Source organism: Homo sapiens, chromosome 9 (assembly GCF_000001405.40).
Source record: "Homo sapiens chromosome 9, GRCh38.p14 Primary Assembly".
NCBI classification, from domain to species: domain Eukaryota; kingdom Metazoa; phylum Chordata; class Mammalia; order Primates; family Hominidae; genus Homo; species Homo sapiens.
Window position 1 is genome coordinate 63,388,174 of NC_000009.12, and position 20,374 is coordinate 63,408,547.

A 20,374-nucleotide genomic window follows, 5' to 3' on the forward strand; every position below is an offset into this window, starting at 1 on the left:
GGGACACCACGGGGAACAGGGCCCTGTGTGTGGAGGCATCCGGAACAGGAATTGGCACCTGGGTGCGGAGGGCTGGCTGGGTCTGAATTTTTCTGCTTCTCCTGTTCCCCGAGGAGTGCAGCCCCGGTGGGCCCAGTGGTTCCTGTGGAGTGGGGAGCTGGGTGCTGTGGTGTCTCCAGCACCCACCCCAGACCCCAGTTCCCGGCCAGCTTGGGCCAAAAGGAGAGGCTGGACTTTGGAGGGTGGGTGTGAGTGCCTTTGCTGAAACTGGCCCCTGCCACCCAGTGGCCGGCACGACAACTTGAGGCTCTAACGCTTCCACTCCTCACAACTTCCTCTAGGCTTTTCTGGCTTTGCCCGCCCAGCTGCTCCATGCCAGGAGGAGGAGGAGACACCTAGAGCCTGCAACACCACGGCTCACCTCGCTGCGGGTGGGTGGCAGTGACGGAGACTGCAGTGCGCCAGAGCGGTAGGAGAGTGGCCACGCTAGGAGGGCGGGCGGCTGCAGGCAGGGTTGGGAGTCAGGCTTACAGTGATGGACGGGCTGCAGCAGTGGCCAGGTAGTAGGAGCCTTGTAGGGAGGGCTGGTGCATTGGCAATGGGCCTGGCTTTGCCCTGTGCCTGCCGTGGATCTGGCCCTGTACTGCCCTGCCTTGCCCTGTACCTGCCCTACTGTTACCTGGACTCTCAGCCCTGTCCTGCTCTGGTCCCATCCTGACCCTGTCTTGGCCCCGTGCTACCCTGTCCCTGCCCTGGTCTTGCCCTGGCACTGGCCCTGCCCTGAACCTGCACTGGCCTGACCTTGGCTCTGGCCCTGGCTCTGGCCCTGCCCCTTGTCCTGACCCTGGTCCTGTCATGGCACTGGCCCTGCCAGTGGTCATGGTCCTGCTCCTGTTCTGGCCCTGACCTGGCCTTGGAAATGTCCTGGCTCTGCTTTGGCCCATCCCTGCCCTGGCCCCACCATGGGCCTTCCTGTTCTGCCCTCTCCTGGCACTGACCTGGCCCTGTCATGGCCCAGTGGTGCCATTGCCCTGCCTTACCCTGCGCTGGTTGTGCCTTGGCCCCGCTTGGTGCTGGCCGCTTCCTGGACCTGCCCTGGACCTGCCCTGACCCTGCCTTGGCTTTTGCCCTGCCCTCACTATGGCCTGGCCCTGGCCCTAGCCCTGGTCCTGCCATATCCCTGACCCTGCCCTTATCCAGGCCCTGCCCCTGCTGCTGCCCTGGCCCTGGCCTGGAACCTGGTCCTGTCAAGGACCTGCCCTGACTCTGCCATGGCCCTGGCCCTGCTCTGCCTTGTTCCTGGCCCTGACCCAGACCCAGACCCTTTCCTGGCTCTGCACTGGCCTTTCCCTGGCCCTGAGCTGGCAGTGGTCTGCCCCTGGTCTTGCCATCACCCTGCCCTGCTGTGCTCTGGATGTGTCATCACCCTGCCCTGGCTCTACTCTGCCTTTGACCCTGCCCTGGCCTTGCCTTGGCCCTCACCCTAGTCTTCGCTAGGCCCAGCACAGACCTGGCTCTGACCCTGGCCCTGGTCTTTGTCCTGCCATAGCTTTGGCCCTGAAGTGGACTTGGAGGTGTCCTGGCCCCGGTGTAACATGGCTCTGCATTGGCCTGTCTCTGCCCTGCCCCTACCATCGCCTTGCCCTGCTCTGCCCTGTCCCAGTACTGACCCGGCCACGCTATTTCCCCGCCCTACCCTGCCTTGGCTGTGCCCTGGCTCGGTTCTGGCCCTGGCCCCGGCCCTGCCCTGGACATGCTCTGACACTGCCTCAGCCTTGGCACTAGCCTGGCTCATTCTTGGCATCAGCCCTGCTCTCTCTGTGGACCGGCTCTTGTCCTGTCCTGCACTGGCCATACCATGCCCTGCCCTGCCCTGACTCAGCCCTGACTCAGCCTTGGCCTTGGCATTGCCCCTGGTCCTGCCATATTTCTTGCCCTGTCCCTACCCTAGCCTTGGCCCTGACCCTTACCTTGCTCTGGCCCTGCCCTTGCCCTAATGCAGCCCCTGGCCCTGTCATGACCCTGCCCTGGACCTGTCCTGGCCCTGGCCCTTCCCTGCTTGAGACCTTGCCCTGGTTCTCCCATGGCCCTGACCCTGAAATGCCTGGCCCTACCCTGGCCTTGCCCTGCTCTGGCCCTTGCCCTGACTCTGGTCCTGTCACTGACCTAGCCCCAGCCCTGTTGCTGGTCTTACCATGGCCCAGACCCTGCCTTGGCCCTGCCCTGACACTGTCCTGGACCCTGGCTGTGCCAAGAACCTGCACTGTCCTTGCCCTTGTTTTGCTCCTGCCCCGAACCTGGTCCTGCCCAGGCCGTTTCTATGGCCCTGGCCCTGGCCCTGCCCAGGTCTTGGCACTGGCCTGGCCCTGCCCTGCCCTGGCCCTATGCTTTCCTGGCCCTGCCTTGGCCCTAGCCTGGCTTTGACCCTGCCCTGGCCCTACCTTGGCCTTCACCCTAGCCTTACCAGAGCACTGTGTTGGACCTGGCCATAGCACAGACCTGGTTGTGGCCCTGGCCCAGACCCTAGCCCTGCAGGTACCGGTCCTGGCCCAGCTCTGGGCCTGGCTTTGTCCCTAATTCTTAGATGACCCTGCCCCTGCCCCTGCCCTTGCCCTTGCCCTGGCACTGGCCTTGGACATGTCCGTGGTCCTAACCCTGGCCCTGCCCTGGAGCTGCCACTGTCTTGGCCCTGCCCTGGCTCTGGCCCTGCCCCGGCCCTGGCCCTGCCCCGGCCCCAGCCATAGACCTGCCCTGGTTGGTCGTGCCCTACCTTAACCCTGTGCTACCCTGGGCCTGCTCCACCCTGCCCTGGCCCTGCCCTCCCTTTGGCCCTGCCCTGACCCCGTCTTGGCCCTCACACTGGCCCTAGCACAGACCTGGTCCTATCTGTGGCCTTGGCCTGGCATTGACCCCTGCTCCTGACCCTGATCCTGCCATGGCCCTGGCCCTGCCAATGACCCTGGCAGCCCTTACCCTGGCCCTGAACTGGCCCTGCCCTGACCCTGGCCCTGAAGTGGATTTGCAGGTGTCTTGTCCATGGTTTAACCTGGTCTTACCATGGCCCTGTCCCTCCCCTGGCTCTGTCCTGGTCTTATGCTGACCCTGACCCAGACCTTGGCCCTGCCACAGCCTTGTCCTAGACCTGGCCATGGCCCTGCGTCTGCCCTGGACCGGCGCTGGCACTGGCATGGACCCTGGCCCTGGCCCTTCACTACTTAAGGCCATACCCTGGCCCAGCCCTGGCCCTAATTTGGCCTGGCTCTACCCTGGCATGCTATTCTGGCCCTAGCCCTGACCCTGTCCCTGTCCCTGTCCTGGTCCTAGCCCCGTTGCTGGTCCTGCCATGGCCCTTGTCCTGACATTGCCCTTTCCTGGTTCTGGCCCTGGCCCTGTCCCAGCCCTGCTCTGGCCCTGGTCTGAACCCTGGCCCTGCAATAGACCTGCCTTGGTCCTGCCCAGACCCTGGCTCTGGCCCTACCTCTGCCCTGGCCATACCCTTGCCCTGGCCTGGACCCCGGTCCTGGTCCTTGTCCTGCCCCAGCCGTGGCCCTGGCCCTGCCCTGCCTGTGCCCTGTTCTATCCTGGGCTGGCCCTGCCATGGCCTGGTCTTGCCATTGCCCTGCCCTAGCTTGCCCTGCTTGTGCCCTAGATCTGCCCCGCTTGTGCCCTAGATCTGCCCCGGCCTTTGCCCCATCTTGGTTCTAGCCTTGACTCAGCCCTGGACCTTCCCTGACCTTGCCTCAGCCCTGGCACTACCCTGGCATTGCCTTGGCATTTGCCCTACTCTCTCTATGGCCTGGCTGTGGTCCTGCCCTGCTCTGCTCTTGTTCTGTCCTGGCACAGCCCTGGCCCTGGCCCTGGCCCTGCCATATCACTGGCTCTGGTCCTGCCCTTATGCAGACCTGACCCTGCCACTGCCTTGGCTTTGGCCTGGACCTTGGCCATACAGTGACCCTGCCATGACATTTTCCTGGTCCTGGCCTGGAACCTGGCCCTGCCAAGGACTCGCCCTGGCTCTGTCATGGCCCTGGCCCGTTCCTGGATTTGGATGTGTCCTGTCCCTTATTTGCCCCGGCCCTTCCCTGGCTCTGCCATACCCCTTCTCTGGGGTAGGGCCAGGGTCAGGACCAGACCAGGGCAGGGTCAGGACCAGGGTAGGGCCATGTTAAGGCCTGAAGATGGGAAGGGCCAGGGCAGCGGCTGGACCAGGGAAGGGTCAGGGCCAGGGATGTAGTAGGACTAGGGGCAGAGCCGGCACTAGGGCTGAGCCAGGGCAGAGCAGGAGAGATTACTTTAGGCTATTACTAAAATTTTTATTTTAGATTTTTAAGATAACTATAGTAGTAGTAATGTCTATACTATGTTGTTTGTAATAGTAATAATACTTGCAGTAATCACTAAATTTTAACTAATACTATCTTTGCTTCCAGTAGTGTTCTATGAGTATAATTTTATCAACATGTAAATATGTGAGGCATTGATTCTCATAATAATTCTATATGCTAGGTACTTAAAGCATCCCCATTTTCCAAATGTAGGAAACAGGCAAAAAGAAGGTAAATACTTGGCCAGATTACTCCTGTAATCCCAGCACTTTGGGAGGCCAAGGCAGGCAGATGGCTTGAGCTCAGGAGTTTGGAACCAGCCTGGGCAACATTGTGAAACCCCATCTCTACTAAAAATGCACAAAAAGAACTAATTTAAGTTTCTTGTAGGATTCTGGTTATAAAACACTGGTCAAACACACAGGGCATGGATAGGGCAGGGCCAGGGACAAGGTCAGGCCAGGAAGGGGCCAGGGCCAAGGCAGGGCCAGAGCTGGACTTGGAGGTGTCCTGGTCTGATTTGCCCTGCCCCAACGTTGGCCCAGCCCTGCTCTGGCACGTCCTGTCATGCCCTGTCCCTGGCCTGAGCATTGGCCCTGGCCCTGTCCTGCTTCTGGCCCTGCCCCGGAGTTGACCAGGCACTGCCATGGCCCAGTCCTGCATTGCCCTGCCCTCCTCTGCCCTGGTGCTACCATGGCCCTGCTTGGGCCCTAGCTCTGCCTCGACTCTGGACCTGCCCTGACTCTGCTCAGCCCTGGATCTACCCTGACTCTGCCTTGGTGTTGCCCTCCCATCTCTATGGCCTGGCTCTGGCCATGCCTTGCACAGACCATGCTCTGCCCTGCGTGCCCCAGCCTGGGCCCAGCCCTCATCCTACCATATTCCTGACCCCAGCCATACCCTTGTTCTCGCCATGACCCTGCCGTGGCCCTCTCCTGGCCCTTCCTTGATCCTGCCCTGCCCTTCCATGCCCTGGCCTTGCCCTCACCCTGCATTGGCCCTGCACTGGTCCTGCCCTGCCCTGGCACTGCCTTGGCCCCGGCCCTGCCTTCTTCCTGGCCTTGCCTTTGCCCTGCCCTGGCCTGACCCCAGGCCTACTGAGTCCATGAAATGGCCCTGGACCTGCCTTGCCATCCTCTGTCCTGGCCCTATATTGTCCCCACCATGCTCTGGTCCAGCGCTTGCCCTAGCCCTGTTGCTAGTCCTGCCACTGCTATGGCCCTGCTCTGTTTTTGGCCGTGCCCTGTGCTACCCTAGCCCTGCCCTGCCTTGGCCTTGGCCCTACCATGGCCTTCTCCTACCCTGGCCTTTTCTACCCTGGCCTTGCCCTTCCCTGGTCTTGCCCTGCCCTGGCCTTGCCCTGCCCTGGCCTTGGCTTTGCCTTATCCTGGTCCTGGTTCTGCCCTGACCCTGGCCTTGCTCTGGATCCTCTCTGGTTCTGCTTTCTCCCTGGCCCTGCCCTTGCTCTGGCCCTGTCCCTGGACCAGCCTTGACCCTGACCCTGACAATCCCCAGGTCTGACACTGGCCATGCTTGGCCCTGGCCCCTCCTTTTGGCCCTGCCTTAGCCCTGTGCTATCTTAGTCCTGCCCTGGCCCTGAACTCACCCTGGTCCTACCCTCACCCTACACTGGCCCTGCCCTATCCTGGCCTTGCCCTGCCCTGGCCCTGCCTTTGGCCTGCTCTGGCTCTGGTTCTGCCCTGGACTTGCCCTTGCCCTGGACCCTCCCTGGCCATGTTTTTCCCATGGTCCTTCTCTGGCCTTGCCCTTGCCCTGTCCCCTTTCTGGTCCTGCCATGTTTCTGGCCCTGCCCTGTCCATGTCCTGGACCTGACTCTGGCCCTGGACCTCCCTGTCCCTGCCCTGCCATACCCTGGCCCGTTCCTTGCTCTACACTGACCCTGCCCTGCCTTGGCCCTGTGCCACCCTAGCCCTGCCCTGGCCTTCTGCTGACCCTGATCCTGCCATGGCCCTGGCCCTGCCATGTCCCTGCCCTGGCCCTGGTTCTTCCCTGCTTCTGGACCTGGCCTTGGTCCTCTCATGTCCCTGGCTGTGACCCTGCCCCTGGTTTTTCTCTGGCCATGACCCTGCCCCAGTTCTGTCCTATCCCTGGCCCTGTCTCAGTTCTGTCCTAGCCCTGGCCTTTCACAGTACTTTATGCTTAGTAAGGGCTCCATGGTGTCTGTGAGTTGAATGTTGTGTTCATAGTATCTGCCAAAACAGAAAGAAAAAAGTAAAATATTTTGATAAGAAGTTAAAGCTTTGTATATAATATGCCTTGAATTGTAAGTGCCTGTTATTAGTTGTATTACATATGGGTCATGGCTTTGTACACGTAACTCCAAACCATTGATACTGTTAAAAGGATATATGAATATATGAAAGAATGTATAAACGTAAGAATGTATCAGTATCTAATGACCTTTCCAAATTAATTTTTATTTTTAGCTCTATTAGATTTTTCTCAGTGTAACAAATGTTTATTCCTATGTAATTAAGGGTGTGTTTCCTGTACAGAATATTCATAATACCTAATTGAAAATTATATGATACAAAAATATAATACTATTTTTAGGCCAAGCATGGTGGCTCATACCTGTAATCCCAACATTTTGAGAGGCCAAGTTTGGAGAATCATTTGAGTCCAGGAGTTGACCAGCCTGGGCAACATAGTGAGACCTTGTCTTTATTAAATAAATAAATAAATAAATAAATAGGTTGGGCACTGTGGCTCATATCTGTCCTCCCAGCATTTTGGGTTGCCAATGCAGGAGGATTGCTTGAGCCCAGGAGTTTGAGACCAGCCTGGGCAGAATAGCAAGACTCCATCTCTGCAAATAATAAAATATTAACCAGGTGTGGTGGTGCGCACCTGGGGTCCCAGCTACCTGGGAGGCTAAGGTGGGAGGTTTGCTTGAGGCTTCAGTGAACTGTGAATGCACCACTGCATTCCAGCCTAGGCCACAGAACAGGACCTTGTTTATAAATAAAGAAATAAGTAAAAATATAAATAAAAAGTAAAAATAACTATAAGTAAATATAAATATAAAAATGCATACATGAAAAGAAACAATTTTTAAATTTAACATCAGTGAGGGCATCCTATCCATTTCATTTCATGATTCCATTACATCATTTCACTTAGATGAAATGATGACTTGAGATGAAATAATGAGATGAAATGACGAAATGATGAGATGAGATGATGAGATGAAATTTTGAGATGAAATGGTGAGTAGAAATGATGAGATGAAATGATGAGATGAAATGACAAAATTGAAAAGAAATTGAAAGGAGAGGAGATGAGATAAAATGAGATGAAATGAGATGATGGATGAAATGAGATGAAACGAGATGAAATGAAATAATGAAATGATATGAAATAATGAAATTGTAATGAGATGATATGAGATGAAATAATGAGATAAAATGATGAGATGAGATGAACGATGAGATGAAATGATGAAATGAAATGAGATGAAAAATGATGAGATGAAAAATGAGATGAAATGAAATAATGAAATGAGATGAAATGAAATGAAATAATGAAAGGAAATTATGAAATGTAATGATGAAATTGAAATGAGATGAGTTGAAATGATGAGATGTAATGGTGAAATGAAATGATGAAATGAGATGAGATGAAATGAGATGAAATAATGAGATGAAATGAGATAATGAGATGAGATGAAATCATGAGATGAAATGATGAAATGAAATGAAATGATGGATGAAATTATGAGATGAAAGATGAAATGTAATGAGATGAAATGAAATGACATAATGAAATGAAATAATGAAATGAGATGAAATAAAATAATGAAATGATGAAATAATGAAATGAAAATGAAATGGAAATGATGAGATGAGAAGAAATGATGAGATGAAATGATGAAATGATGAGATGAGATAAAATGAGATGAAATGATGAGATGAGATGAAATATGATGAGATGAAATGACATAATGAATGAAATGATGAAATGGAATAATGAAATGGAAATGATGAGCTGAGATGCAATGAGTTGAAATGAGATGAAATGATGAAATGATGAGATGAAATGATGAGATGTGATGAAATGATGACATGAAATGATGACATAAAATGAGATGAAATGAGATGTAATGATGGAATGGGATGAGATGAAATGAGATGAAATGATAGATGAGATAAAATGATGATATGAAATGATGAGATGAATGATGAGATGATGAGATGAATGATGAAATGAAATGATGAGATGAGATGATGAAATGAAATGGTGAGATGAAATGATGAGATGAAATGAAATAGTGAAATGAAATTGAAATAAAATCGAAATGAGATGAGATGAAATGATATGATGAAATAAAATGATGAAATGATGAGATGTGATGAGATGAAATGATGAGATGAAATGATGAGATGAGATGAGATGACATGAAATAATGAAATGAAATTGAAATGAGATAAGATACGAGATGAGATGAAATGATGAGATGAAATGATGAAATGATGAGATAAGATGAAAAGGGTTGAGATGATGAGATGAAATGAGATGAAAAGATGAAATGATGAGATGAAATGAAATGATGAGATGAAATGAGGTGAAATGAAATTAGATGAAATGTAATGAGATGAAATGAAATGAAATAATGAAATGAGATGAAATAAAATAATGAAATGATGAAATAATGAAATGAAAATGAAATGGAAATGATGAGATGAGAAGAAATGATGAGATGAAATGATGAAATGATGAGATGAGATAAAATGAGATGAAATGATGAGATGAGATGAAATATGATGAGATGAAATGACATAATGAATGAAATGATGAAATGGAATAATGAAATGGAAATGAGCTGAGATGCAATGAGTTGAAATGAGATGAAATGATGAAATGATGAGATGAAATGATGAGATGAGATGTGATGAAATGATGACATGAAATGACATAAAATGAGATGAAATGAGATGTAATGATGGAATGGGATGAGATGAAATGAGATGAAATGATAGATGAGATAAAATGATGATATGAAATGATGAGATGAATGATGAGATGATGAGATGAATGATGAAATGAAATGATGAGATGATGAAATGAAATGGTGAGATGAAATGATGAGATGAAATGAAATAGTGAAATGAAATTGAAATAAAATCGAAATGAGATGAGATGAAATGATGAGATGATGAAATAAAATGATGAAATGATGAGATGTGATGAGATGAAATGATGACATGAAATGATGAGATGAGATGAGATGACATGAAATAATGAAATGAAATTGAAATGAGATAAGATACGAGATGAGATGAAATGATGAGATGAAATGATGAAATGATGAGATAAGATGAAAAGGGTTGAGATGATGAGATGAAATGAGATGAAAAGATGAAATGATGAGATGAAATGAAATGATGAGATGAAATGAGGTGAAATGAAATTAGATGAAATGTAATGAGATGAAATGAAATGACATAATGAAATGAAATAATGAAATGAGATGAAATAAAATAATGAAATGATGAAATAATGAAATGAAAATGAAATGGAAATGATGAGATGAGAAGAAATGATGAGATGAAATGATGAAATGATGAGATGAGATAAAATGAGATGAAATGATGAGATGAGATGAAATATGAGATGAAATGACATAATGAATGAAATGATGAAATGGAATAATGAAATGGAAATGAGCTGAGATGCAATGAGTTGAAATGAGATGAAATGATGAAATGATGAGATGAAATGATGAGATGTGATGAAATGATGACATGAAATGATGACATAAAATGAGATGAAATGAGATGTAATGATGGAATGGGATGAGATGAAATGAGATGAAATGATAGATGAGATAAAATGATGATATGAAATGATGAGATGAATGATGAGATGATGAGATGAATGATGAAATGAAATGATGAGATGAGATGATGAAATGAAATGGTGAGATGAAATGATGAGATGAAATGAAATAGTGAAATGAAATTGAAATAAAATCGAAATGAGATGAGATGAAATGATGAGATGATGAAATAAAATGATGAAATGATGAGATGTGATGAGATGAAATGATGACATGAAATGATGAGATGAGATGAGATGACATGAAATAATGAAATGAAATTGAAATGAGATAAGATACGAGATGAGATGAAATGATGAGATGAAATGATGAAATGATGAGATAAGATAAGGGTTGAGATGATGAGATGAAATGAGATGAAAAGATGAAATGATGAGATGAAATGATGAGATGAAATGAGGTGAAATGAAATTAGATGAAATGTAATGAGATGAAATGAAATGACATAATGAAATGAAATAATGAAATGAGATGAAATAAAATAATGAAATGATGAAATAATGAAATGAAAATGAAATGGAAATGATGAGATGAGAAGAAATGATGAGATGAAATGATGAAATGATGAGATGAGATAAAATGAGATGAAATGATGAGATGAGATGAAATATGATGAGATGAAATGACATAATGAATGAAATGATGAAATGGAATAATGAAATGGAAATGATGAGCTGAGATGCAATGAGTTGAAATGAGATGAAATGATGAAATGATGAGATGAAATGATGAGATGTGATGAAATGATGACATGAAATGATGACATAAAATGAGATGAAATGAGATGTAATGATGGAATGGGATGAGATGAAATGAGATGAAATGATAGATGAGATAAAATGATGATATGAAATGATGAGATGAATGATGAGATGATGAGATGAATGATGAAATGAAATGATGAGATGAGATGATGAAATGAAATGGTGAGATGAAATGATGAGATGAAATGAAATAGTGAAATGAAATTGAAATAAAATCGAAATGAGATGAGATGAAATGATGAGATGAAATAAAATGATGAAATGATGAGATGTGATGAGATGAAATGATGACATGAAATGATGAGATGAGATGAGATGACATGAAATAATGAAATGAAATTGAAATGAGATAAGATACGAGATGAGATGAAATGATGAGATGAAATGATGAAATGATGAGATAAGATGAAAAGGGTTGAGATGATGAGATGAAATGAGATGAAAAGATGAAATGATGAGATGAAATGAAATGATGAGATGAAATGAGGTGAAATGAAATTAGATGAAATGTAATGAGATGAAATGAAATGACATAATGAAATGAAATAATGAAATGAGATGAAATAAAATAATGAAATGATGAAATAATGAAATGAAAATGAAATGGAAATGATGAGATGAGAAGAAATGATGAGATGAAATGATGAAATGATGAGATGAGATAAAATGAGATGAAATGATGAGATGAGATGAAATATGATGAGATGAAATGACATAATGAATGAAATGATGAAATGGAATAATGAAATGGAAATGATGAGCTGAGATGCAATGAGTTGAAATGAGATGAAATGATGAAATGATGAGATGAGATGTGATGAAATGATGACATGAAATGATGACATAAAATGAGATGAAATGAGATGTAATGATGGAATGGGATGAGATGAAATGAGATGAAATGATAGATGAGATAAAATGATGATATGAAATGATGAGATGAATGATGAAATGAAATGATGAGATGAGATGATGAAATGAAATGGTGAGATGAAATGATGAGATGAAATGAAATAGTGAAATGAAATTGAAATAAAATCGAAATGAGATGAGATGAAATGATGAGATGATGAAATAAAATGATGAAATGAGATGTGATGAGATGAAATGATGACATGAAATGATGAGATGAGATGAGATGAGATGACATGAAATAATGAAATGAAATTGAAATGAGATAAGATACGAGATGAGATGAAATGATGAGATGAAATGAAATGATGAGATAAGATGAAAAGAGTTGATGAGATGATGAGATGAAATGAGATGAAAAGATGAAATGATGAGATGAAATGAGGTGAAATGAAATTAGATGAAATGTAATGAGATGAAATGAAATGACAATGAAATGAAAAAATGAAATGAAATAATGAAATGAGGTGAAATTAAATGAGATGATGAAATTAAATGATGAAATGAAATAATGAAATGGAAATGATGAGATGAAATGAGATGAATGATGAGATATAATGATGAGATGCAATGATGAGATGAAATGATGAGATGAGATGAGATGTAATGATGAGAGGAAATGATGAGATGTAATGAAATGAGATGAAATGAATGAGATGAAATGAAATAATGAAAGGAAATTGAATTGAGATATGAGATGAAATGAGATAAAATGAGATGAAATAAATGATGAGATGAAATGATGAAATGCTGAGGTGAGATGAAACGATGAGATGAAATGAAAGGATGAGATGAAATGATGAGATGAGGTGAGATGAGATGAAATGAGATGAAACGAGATGAAATGATGAAATGAGATGAGATGAGAAGAAATGATTTGATGAAATGAGATGAGATAAAGTGATGAGATGAAATGAAATGAAGTGAAATGAAATAATGAAATGAAATTGAAATGAGATGAGATGAAATGAGATAAAATGAGATGAAATGAGAAGAAATGAGATGAAATGATGAAATGAGATGATGAGATGAAAAATGATGAGATGAATTGAAATGAAATGAAATAATGAAATGAAATGATGAATTGATGATATTGAAATGAAATTGAAAGATGAGATGAAATGAGATGAAATGAAATGTTGAAATGATGAAGAGATGTGACATGAAATGAGCTGAAATGAGATGAAATGAAATGAGATTAAATGATGAGATGAAAAATGATGAGATGAAAAATGATGAGATGAAATGATGAGATGAGATGAGATGAATTGAGATGAGATGAGATGAAATAATGAAATTAGGTGAAATAATGAAATGAGATGAAATAATGAAATAAAATTGAAATGAGATGAGAAGAAATGAGATGAAATGTTGAAAAGAAAGGAGGAAATGATGAGGTGAGATGAAATGATGAGATGAAATGAATTGAGATGAAATGAGATGAAAAATGATATGAAAAATGATATAAAAAATATGACATGAAATGAAATGAGATGATATAAAATGACAGAATGAAATAAATGAAATTACATGAAATGAAATGAAATAGTGAAATGAAATGATGAAATAATGAAAATGAAATGGAAATGAGATGAGATGAGATTTGATGAAACGATGAGATGAAATGATGAGATGATATGAAATGATGAGATGAGATGGGATAAGATGAAATGAGATGAAATGATGAGGTGAAGTGATGCACTATCACGTGTGTGTCTTTTTCCCAACCAACAAAAATTATAATTCATTAATTTTAATTTTATTATTTAAGAATATTCTTAAGAGTTGAAGGAAAAATAATATCTGTACATTATGGGTTACAATTAAGTACAAATAATACATAAATATATTAAAACTTACAAAGAATATGTTTCGGAATCGAATATACCATGCTTCTGTGATGACAGTTATTTCATGCTGGTTGTCACAATTTTACATGAAAAACTAATGAAACAATGTTTTTAACTGTTTCTAAAAATAACAGTTTCCAAAACAGTTTTACATTCAAAATATGAAAAAGATGTCTTTGTGTTCCTTAATCTGATGAGATTTTCACACTCTGCACATGATAATTGTTAGATTTTTATTGTGTTGATAAATTGTATATCAAATAAAAAATGTTATTACCTCTTAAATTAGGATTTTTAGGTGATATAGGCAGAAAGGAAGGCAAGTTTTTATAACTTTGTCTAAATGAACTTTCTAAATGCCTGAGTATTAAAAGATAGCATGTCTATAAATGACAATGTATATATTACTGTATGACCTAGGACCAATCAAAACCGTTACCTCTGATAACATTATATTGTGCCCAGTATAAAATAGATATAATAATACCTCAAACTTAAATCCAGGCATTGTCATTGAATATGTTAAGAATATGCAGCAAAGGTGCTTTTAAAAATACAAGCTAGTGATTGTACTAAATTTGTAAATCACATAGGATAGTGGGTCATTTTAAGAATATTATTTCAATCTATAAACGTGGATGTCTTTGCTTTTTTATGTTTTCTTTAATTTCTTTCATTAATATTTGTCATTTTTGCTGTCGAAATCTTTTACTTGGTTAAATTTATTTCTAAGTACATTTTTGTAGCTATTGTAAAAGGAATTGCTTTCTTAATTTCTTGTTTCAGCTAGTTTACTGTCAATATATAGAAATGCTACTGATTTTTGTATGTTGATTTATATCCTGCAACTTTATTAATTTCATGTATCACCCTGAGAAGCTTTTGGCAGAGTCTTATTTTTTTCCATGTATAAGATCACATTGTCTTTAAACAAGGACAATTTGACTGTCTCCTTTCCAATTCAGATGTCCTTTATTTCTTTCTCTCACCTAATTGTCCTGGCTAAGACTTTCACTATGTGAAATATGATTGGTGAGAATAGGCATCCTTTTCTTGTTCCAGTAAAATCTTTTTCTTGTTCACAGTAAAATCTTTCACCTTTTCCACACTCAGTATGATCTTAGCTGTAGATTTGTCCTTTATGTCCTTTGTGTTAAGGCATATATTTTCTATACTAAATTGTTGAGAAGTTTTTTGTCATGTAAGAATATTTAATTTTGCCAAACGCTTTTATTGTGTTTATTAATTTAATCATATGGTTTTCAGTATATATCCAAAGGAAAGAAAATCAGTATATCAAAGAGTTACCTGCACCCCCATGTTTATTACAGCACTATTCACAATAGCCAAGATATGGAATCAACAAAAGTGTCCATCAACAGATGAATGGATAAAGAAATGTGACATACATATATAATGGAATATTATTTAGTCATAATAAAGAACAAAATCCTGTTGTTTGTGGCAACAAGAATGCAAGTGGAGGGCATTATGTTAGGTGAAATAAGCCTGGCATAGAAATATAAACACCACATAACTACGTGTTCTCACTTATGTATGGAAGCTAAAATTTTTAATCTCGTAGAAGTAGATAGTAGAGTTTTGGTTACCATATCCTGGAAAGAGTAGGAGAAAGAAGAGTATAAGAAAAATGTGGTTAATACATACAAAATTACAGCTGGAGAGAAGGAAGAAGTTCTAGTTCTCTACAGCACTGTTGGGTGACTGTAGTTAATGGGAATTTATTGTGTGTTTTCAAATAACTAAAAGAAAAGATTTTGAATATTCTCACTGCAAAGAAATAATACGTGATTTAGGTAATGGATATGATAATGACTCTGACTTGATCTTTACGCATTGCATAAATATATCAAAATATCACTCTGTACCCCATAACATGTACATTTATTGTATGTCAATTAAAGTAAATTTAAAAGAGAAAAAATGAGGTAAAGGTAAATGTACAGAATTTAATTACTTTTTCTTCTATAAAACCCGAGTCAGTACCAAGAAGAGTCAATTTATTAGTTTTCTAAAATAAAAAAAATCAAAATCACCAAAAAAGAGCAATATCCAAGAAAACATTGAAAAGGAAACACAACATTTAGTAAGAATAGAAAACTTGGGCACTGTATCACCCTGTTCCTAGACACCGATTTACTGATGGCCATTTAAACAGAATTTTATTCTATCTAATTCATTTATACTCCCAGAGTTCGAAATTACATTTTACCTACAATAAATGAGATAACACTTGTAAATTATATGGTACTCTGCCTAACACACGTTAATAACTCAATAGATGTTAGCAATAAACTTTTAGTGTAGTAGTCAAAGCATTAATTTCTCACATTGCAATTTCCTTCAAAGACATAAATACAACCTTTCTAATGACTCCTTGTTCATCAAGATACCTCTTCAAATTATTCTATTTGTTTCATTCAGTATATTATCTGTGTATACCGATATTACACTCTTTTCTTTTTTTGAGATGGAATCTCATTCTGTTACTGATGCTGGAGTGAGGTGGCATGATCTCGGTTCACTGCAACCTCCACCTCCCAGGTTCAAGCGATTCTCCTGTCTCAGCCCCCCAAGTAGCTAGGACTACAGGTGCACACCACCATGCCTGGCTAATTTTTGTATTTTTAGTACAGTCAGAGTTTCACCCTGTTGTCCAGGCCGGACTCGAACTCCTGACCTCAGGTGATCCACCCACCATGGCCTCCCAAAGTGCTGGGATTACAGGCATAAGCCACCGCACCCAGCCTGATATTGCACTCTTGGATTTTGAACACTGAATATCTTTTTGAAAGATTACACCTCTTTACCTCTTCGTGCTTCAGAAATTATTTTCCTTCAAGTGTTCTAAGAGGCTAATGAAGAATGAAGTCATGTTTTATCACTTTTGTCCTTAAAGATTTCAGACATGCTGAAACTGATTGAAGTATCATTTGCTACCAGATAGATTAGTTATCTCTAGTTGTAGGAGTGGATACATCTTTAATGGTATATTTTGGTTTATTGTCTTATTTTTGATGTAGTATTCTATCAATAATTTATTAAACCTGGCATCCTTGGGTGAGCATGGATTTTTCAACTTTGGTGTTATATTGTGTTTGCTTTTAAAAACTGCTTTTGAGGCCAGGTATGGTGGCTCTTGCCCATACCCAGCACTCTGGGAGGCCAAGGTGGGCGGATTACCTCAAGTCAGGAGTTCAAGACCAGCCTGGTCAACATGGCAAAACCATGTCTCTACTAAAAACACAAAATTAGCCAGGCATGGTGGTGCATGCTTGTAGTCCTAACCACTCGAGAGGCTGAGGCAAGAGAATCACCTGAACCTGGGAGGCAAAAGTTGCTAGGTTGCTGTGAGCCAAATTCTCACCATTGCCCTCCAGCCTGGGTGAAAAGAGCAAAACTCTGTCTCAAAAAAAAAAAAAAAAAAACGACCAAAAACTGCTTTTGAATGGAGTTGTACATACAATTTTGATGAAAAAAATTATCAAGTGCATAAGTTCTTAATAGAAAAACCAATAATACTCCAGGCACAAGTTAGTACTAAAAAAATTATGTTGAATATGCTCTAATACAACATGCTTTTTCCCTTCATGAACAATTTGTGTTTTACTGAGAAGAGTCATTGTTTATGGTAGACATTAGACTACAGATGAATATGCACTTTAAACACTCTTAGTTGCTTTCTTAATTTTATATCTGCTGCTTTTTGCTTCTGTTTATTTTCATTCTTTCCAATGTCCACATTCTAGTAAATTTGAATATTTTAATCCAAGTTTATATACTATTTAATATTGCTTGCATAGTTTAGTGTTGTTAAGACTCAAAAAGGTTTACAGAAAGAAGAAAAAGATCAACATGTTATTAATCATTTAAAGATCATTTTGAAATCTTTGACCTTTATATTTTAATGAATAAAATATTAGTAGTTATTAGTATAAAATAATTTATGTCTTTTGGACTTAGCATCCAGTATTTCTTTTTTAATAAAGAAAATAATTATTCTCTTGCAATATACTGTGTTTACCTGGGTTTTGAAAAGTGATGTTTCCTAATATGAGAAAGCCATTTACATTTTTAAATCTACAAAGGCAAATGGAATGGTACTAAATTATTTATATAATAATGTTTAGATGGTGGCCCTTATAACATTCTTTCTATACTTCCTACAGAGTTGGGGATATGCAATCCTGGAATATTTCTGGGAGCTAATCCTTCAGCTTGATGAATGAAACAAGACTTTTAAATAAAATTAAACTTTCAAATTATCCAGGTAATGGGCCTGTCTTTTAATTCAATGGATATGGAGCATAATGAATTATCCCCTGTTCATTGGGTAATAAGTTCTCATTCTTAATTTATAATACTCAAAATATCCTTTAATTTTTAATTTTTGATAGTCATATCATTATCCCTAGGTATTTTAGCTTCTATCTTAAATTCTAAAATAATTTTGAGACAGGAGAAAGTATTCTTTATTACTATATGTATTAAACATCATGGTTTTCAAATTTAACTGCAAATGTATCTTTTCATTGCTTCTTGGTGATGCCCTTCACCCTATCCATATTGTCACTACCAAGTGGTGATTACTTTTCAGGTTCACATACTTATTCTTTAGAAAAATCTTCTCTGTGCCTTATAAAGAATATGATTGTTGGCATTGAAAAGCCAGTGAAATATACATTATTAGCCTGTTGCCTAACTCATTTATTTAAGAAACTACACTAATTACCCACATACTTATGTTTTTATTTACTCATTATTTCTGGAGAAAACAAATACTGCTAACATGATATTTGTAAGAGAGAAAAAAGTCTTTTCTTGAAAAGTGCTGTCATTGTAGTACTAACTTATAGTATCAACTTCTTTATCAACTCCTTATACACTTTTTATTCTGAGAGAAATAAAAAAGCTAAAAGTGAAATGACTTTGTAACTCTCCATATTATAAGCACCCATCTTGGTAATTTAGGGTCTTTATAGTTAGGGTAAGTTGTGTCATACCGAGGTTACAAAATAAAAAGTATTTTGTCTCTTTGGGCCTTTCCTTATTCAGTAATACTGTCAGTTTGGCTTTTTTTGTAGGTCAACTTATTGAACTCAGTATTCTGAAATAATGTGTTTACTATCTTTTGATAAGCATTTAAAATATTAGATTTATTGTTACTCTTCTGCCTTCATTGGGCTGGAAGAATAATTGTTTCACTCCACAAAAGCCAAGTTGCAGAGAAAAACACATAGACATTCAACTGCAAAGCAGAGAAACTTGACTATTTTCTGCAATTTTAAAGTGTATATTGAATAAAACCATCTTTTTATTTTCTTTTTTGCTCACTGGCAAATATTAACAACATCAAGTGCGTTATTATAATGTTATCTAGTTAAAAATCTCAAAAAGTTTTCATAATTACCATTTAAAAATATATAAATAAGTGACCTAATGTTAATTTTTATTGTCTGAGACCATGTCTGTTATTTCACTCTTTAAATTCAGTTAGTAATGCAGAACCTAGCACTTAGTAGATACTCAAAAATTATTTGCTGAATAAAAAAAGGTTAAACATGTAATATACACAAAATGTACTGGAAAAAATGCACCAAACAATTTTGTTATACCAGTTTAATGTAAATATTGTCTTTAAAAGATAATATAGTTTTCAGGTGTCTACAGTGATTTTGTAATATTTGTGCACATATAAAGTAATATTTCCAAAAATGTAATCCAGTGGGGAAATATACTTTCTAAATTCTAGATTTATAATTTAGGGTTTAAATTATAAAATCATTAAATAACACACAAGTGAAATATAGTCAAATATCCCCTTGGAAAAAAATTAAGTGGCCTCTAAAGTGAGGTATTCATATATGTAATTTTACAATCCTCTAGTGATAGAATTAATTAAATATGCCACCAAATTGATTAATTCCTACAGTGTTAAAAGAGAAGCACTAACAATGCCAGTGACCATGTAACATGGATTTAAGCTACAAGTCATAGAAATGTGATGAGAAGCCTCAGCACTGTAAAACTGAGGGTGGAGGAAAGCTTTTCCTCTCTCAAATGAGCTTTGCGAGGTATACTTCTTGAAGGATAGGAAGTTGAAGTGTTCAGGACTTTTATGTCTATTCTACTTTGGCTTAGTTTACATGATTCTTAGTTTATTAGCCTAGAAATGGCCAAGAAAACTTAAGGCTCAATAGTTAGTTATAAATATGAAATATCCCCAATTTTCAAGATAAAACAACTTATAAATGTATTTGTAAAAATTGTGTATATTTTTACAGAACATCTATTTCTTTCTTTATTTTTTTATTTTTTTTATACTTTAAATTCTAGGGTACACATGAACAATGTGCAGGTTTGTTGCATATGTATACGTGTGCCATGTTGGTGTGCTGCACCCATTAACTCATCATTTATGTTAGGCATATCTCCTAATGCTATCTCTCCCCCCTCCCCCCACCCCACAACAGGCCCTGGTGTGTGATGTTCCCCTTCCTGTGTCCAAGTGTTCTCATTGTTCAATTCCCACCTATGAGTGAGAACATGCGGTGTTTGGTTTTTTGTCCTTGTGATAGTTTGCTGAGAATGATGGTTTCCAGCTTCATCCATGTCCCTAGTAAGGACATGAACTCATCATTT

The 20,374-nt window shown here is 40.6% G+C and overlaps 1 pseudogene; it reads left to right on the forward strand.

Moving 5' to 3' along the window:
* Window positions 1-475: 475 nt before the first annotated feature.
* LOC124902166 (formin-2-like) lies at window positions 476-6,934 on the forward strand (annotated as a pseudogene).
* Window positions 6,935-20,374: the final 13,440 nt, after the last annotated feature.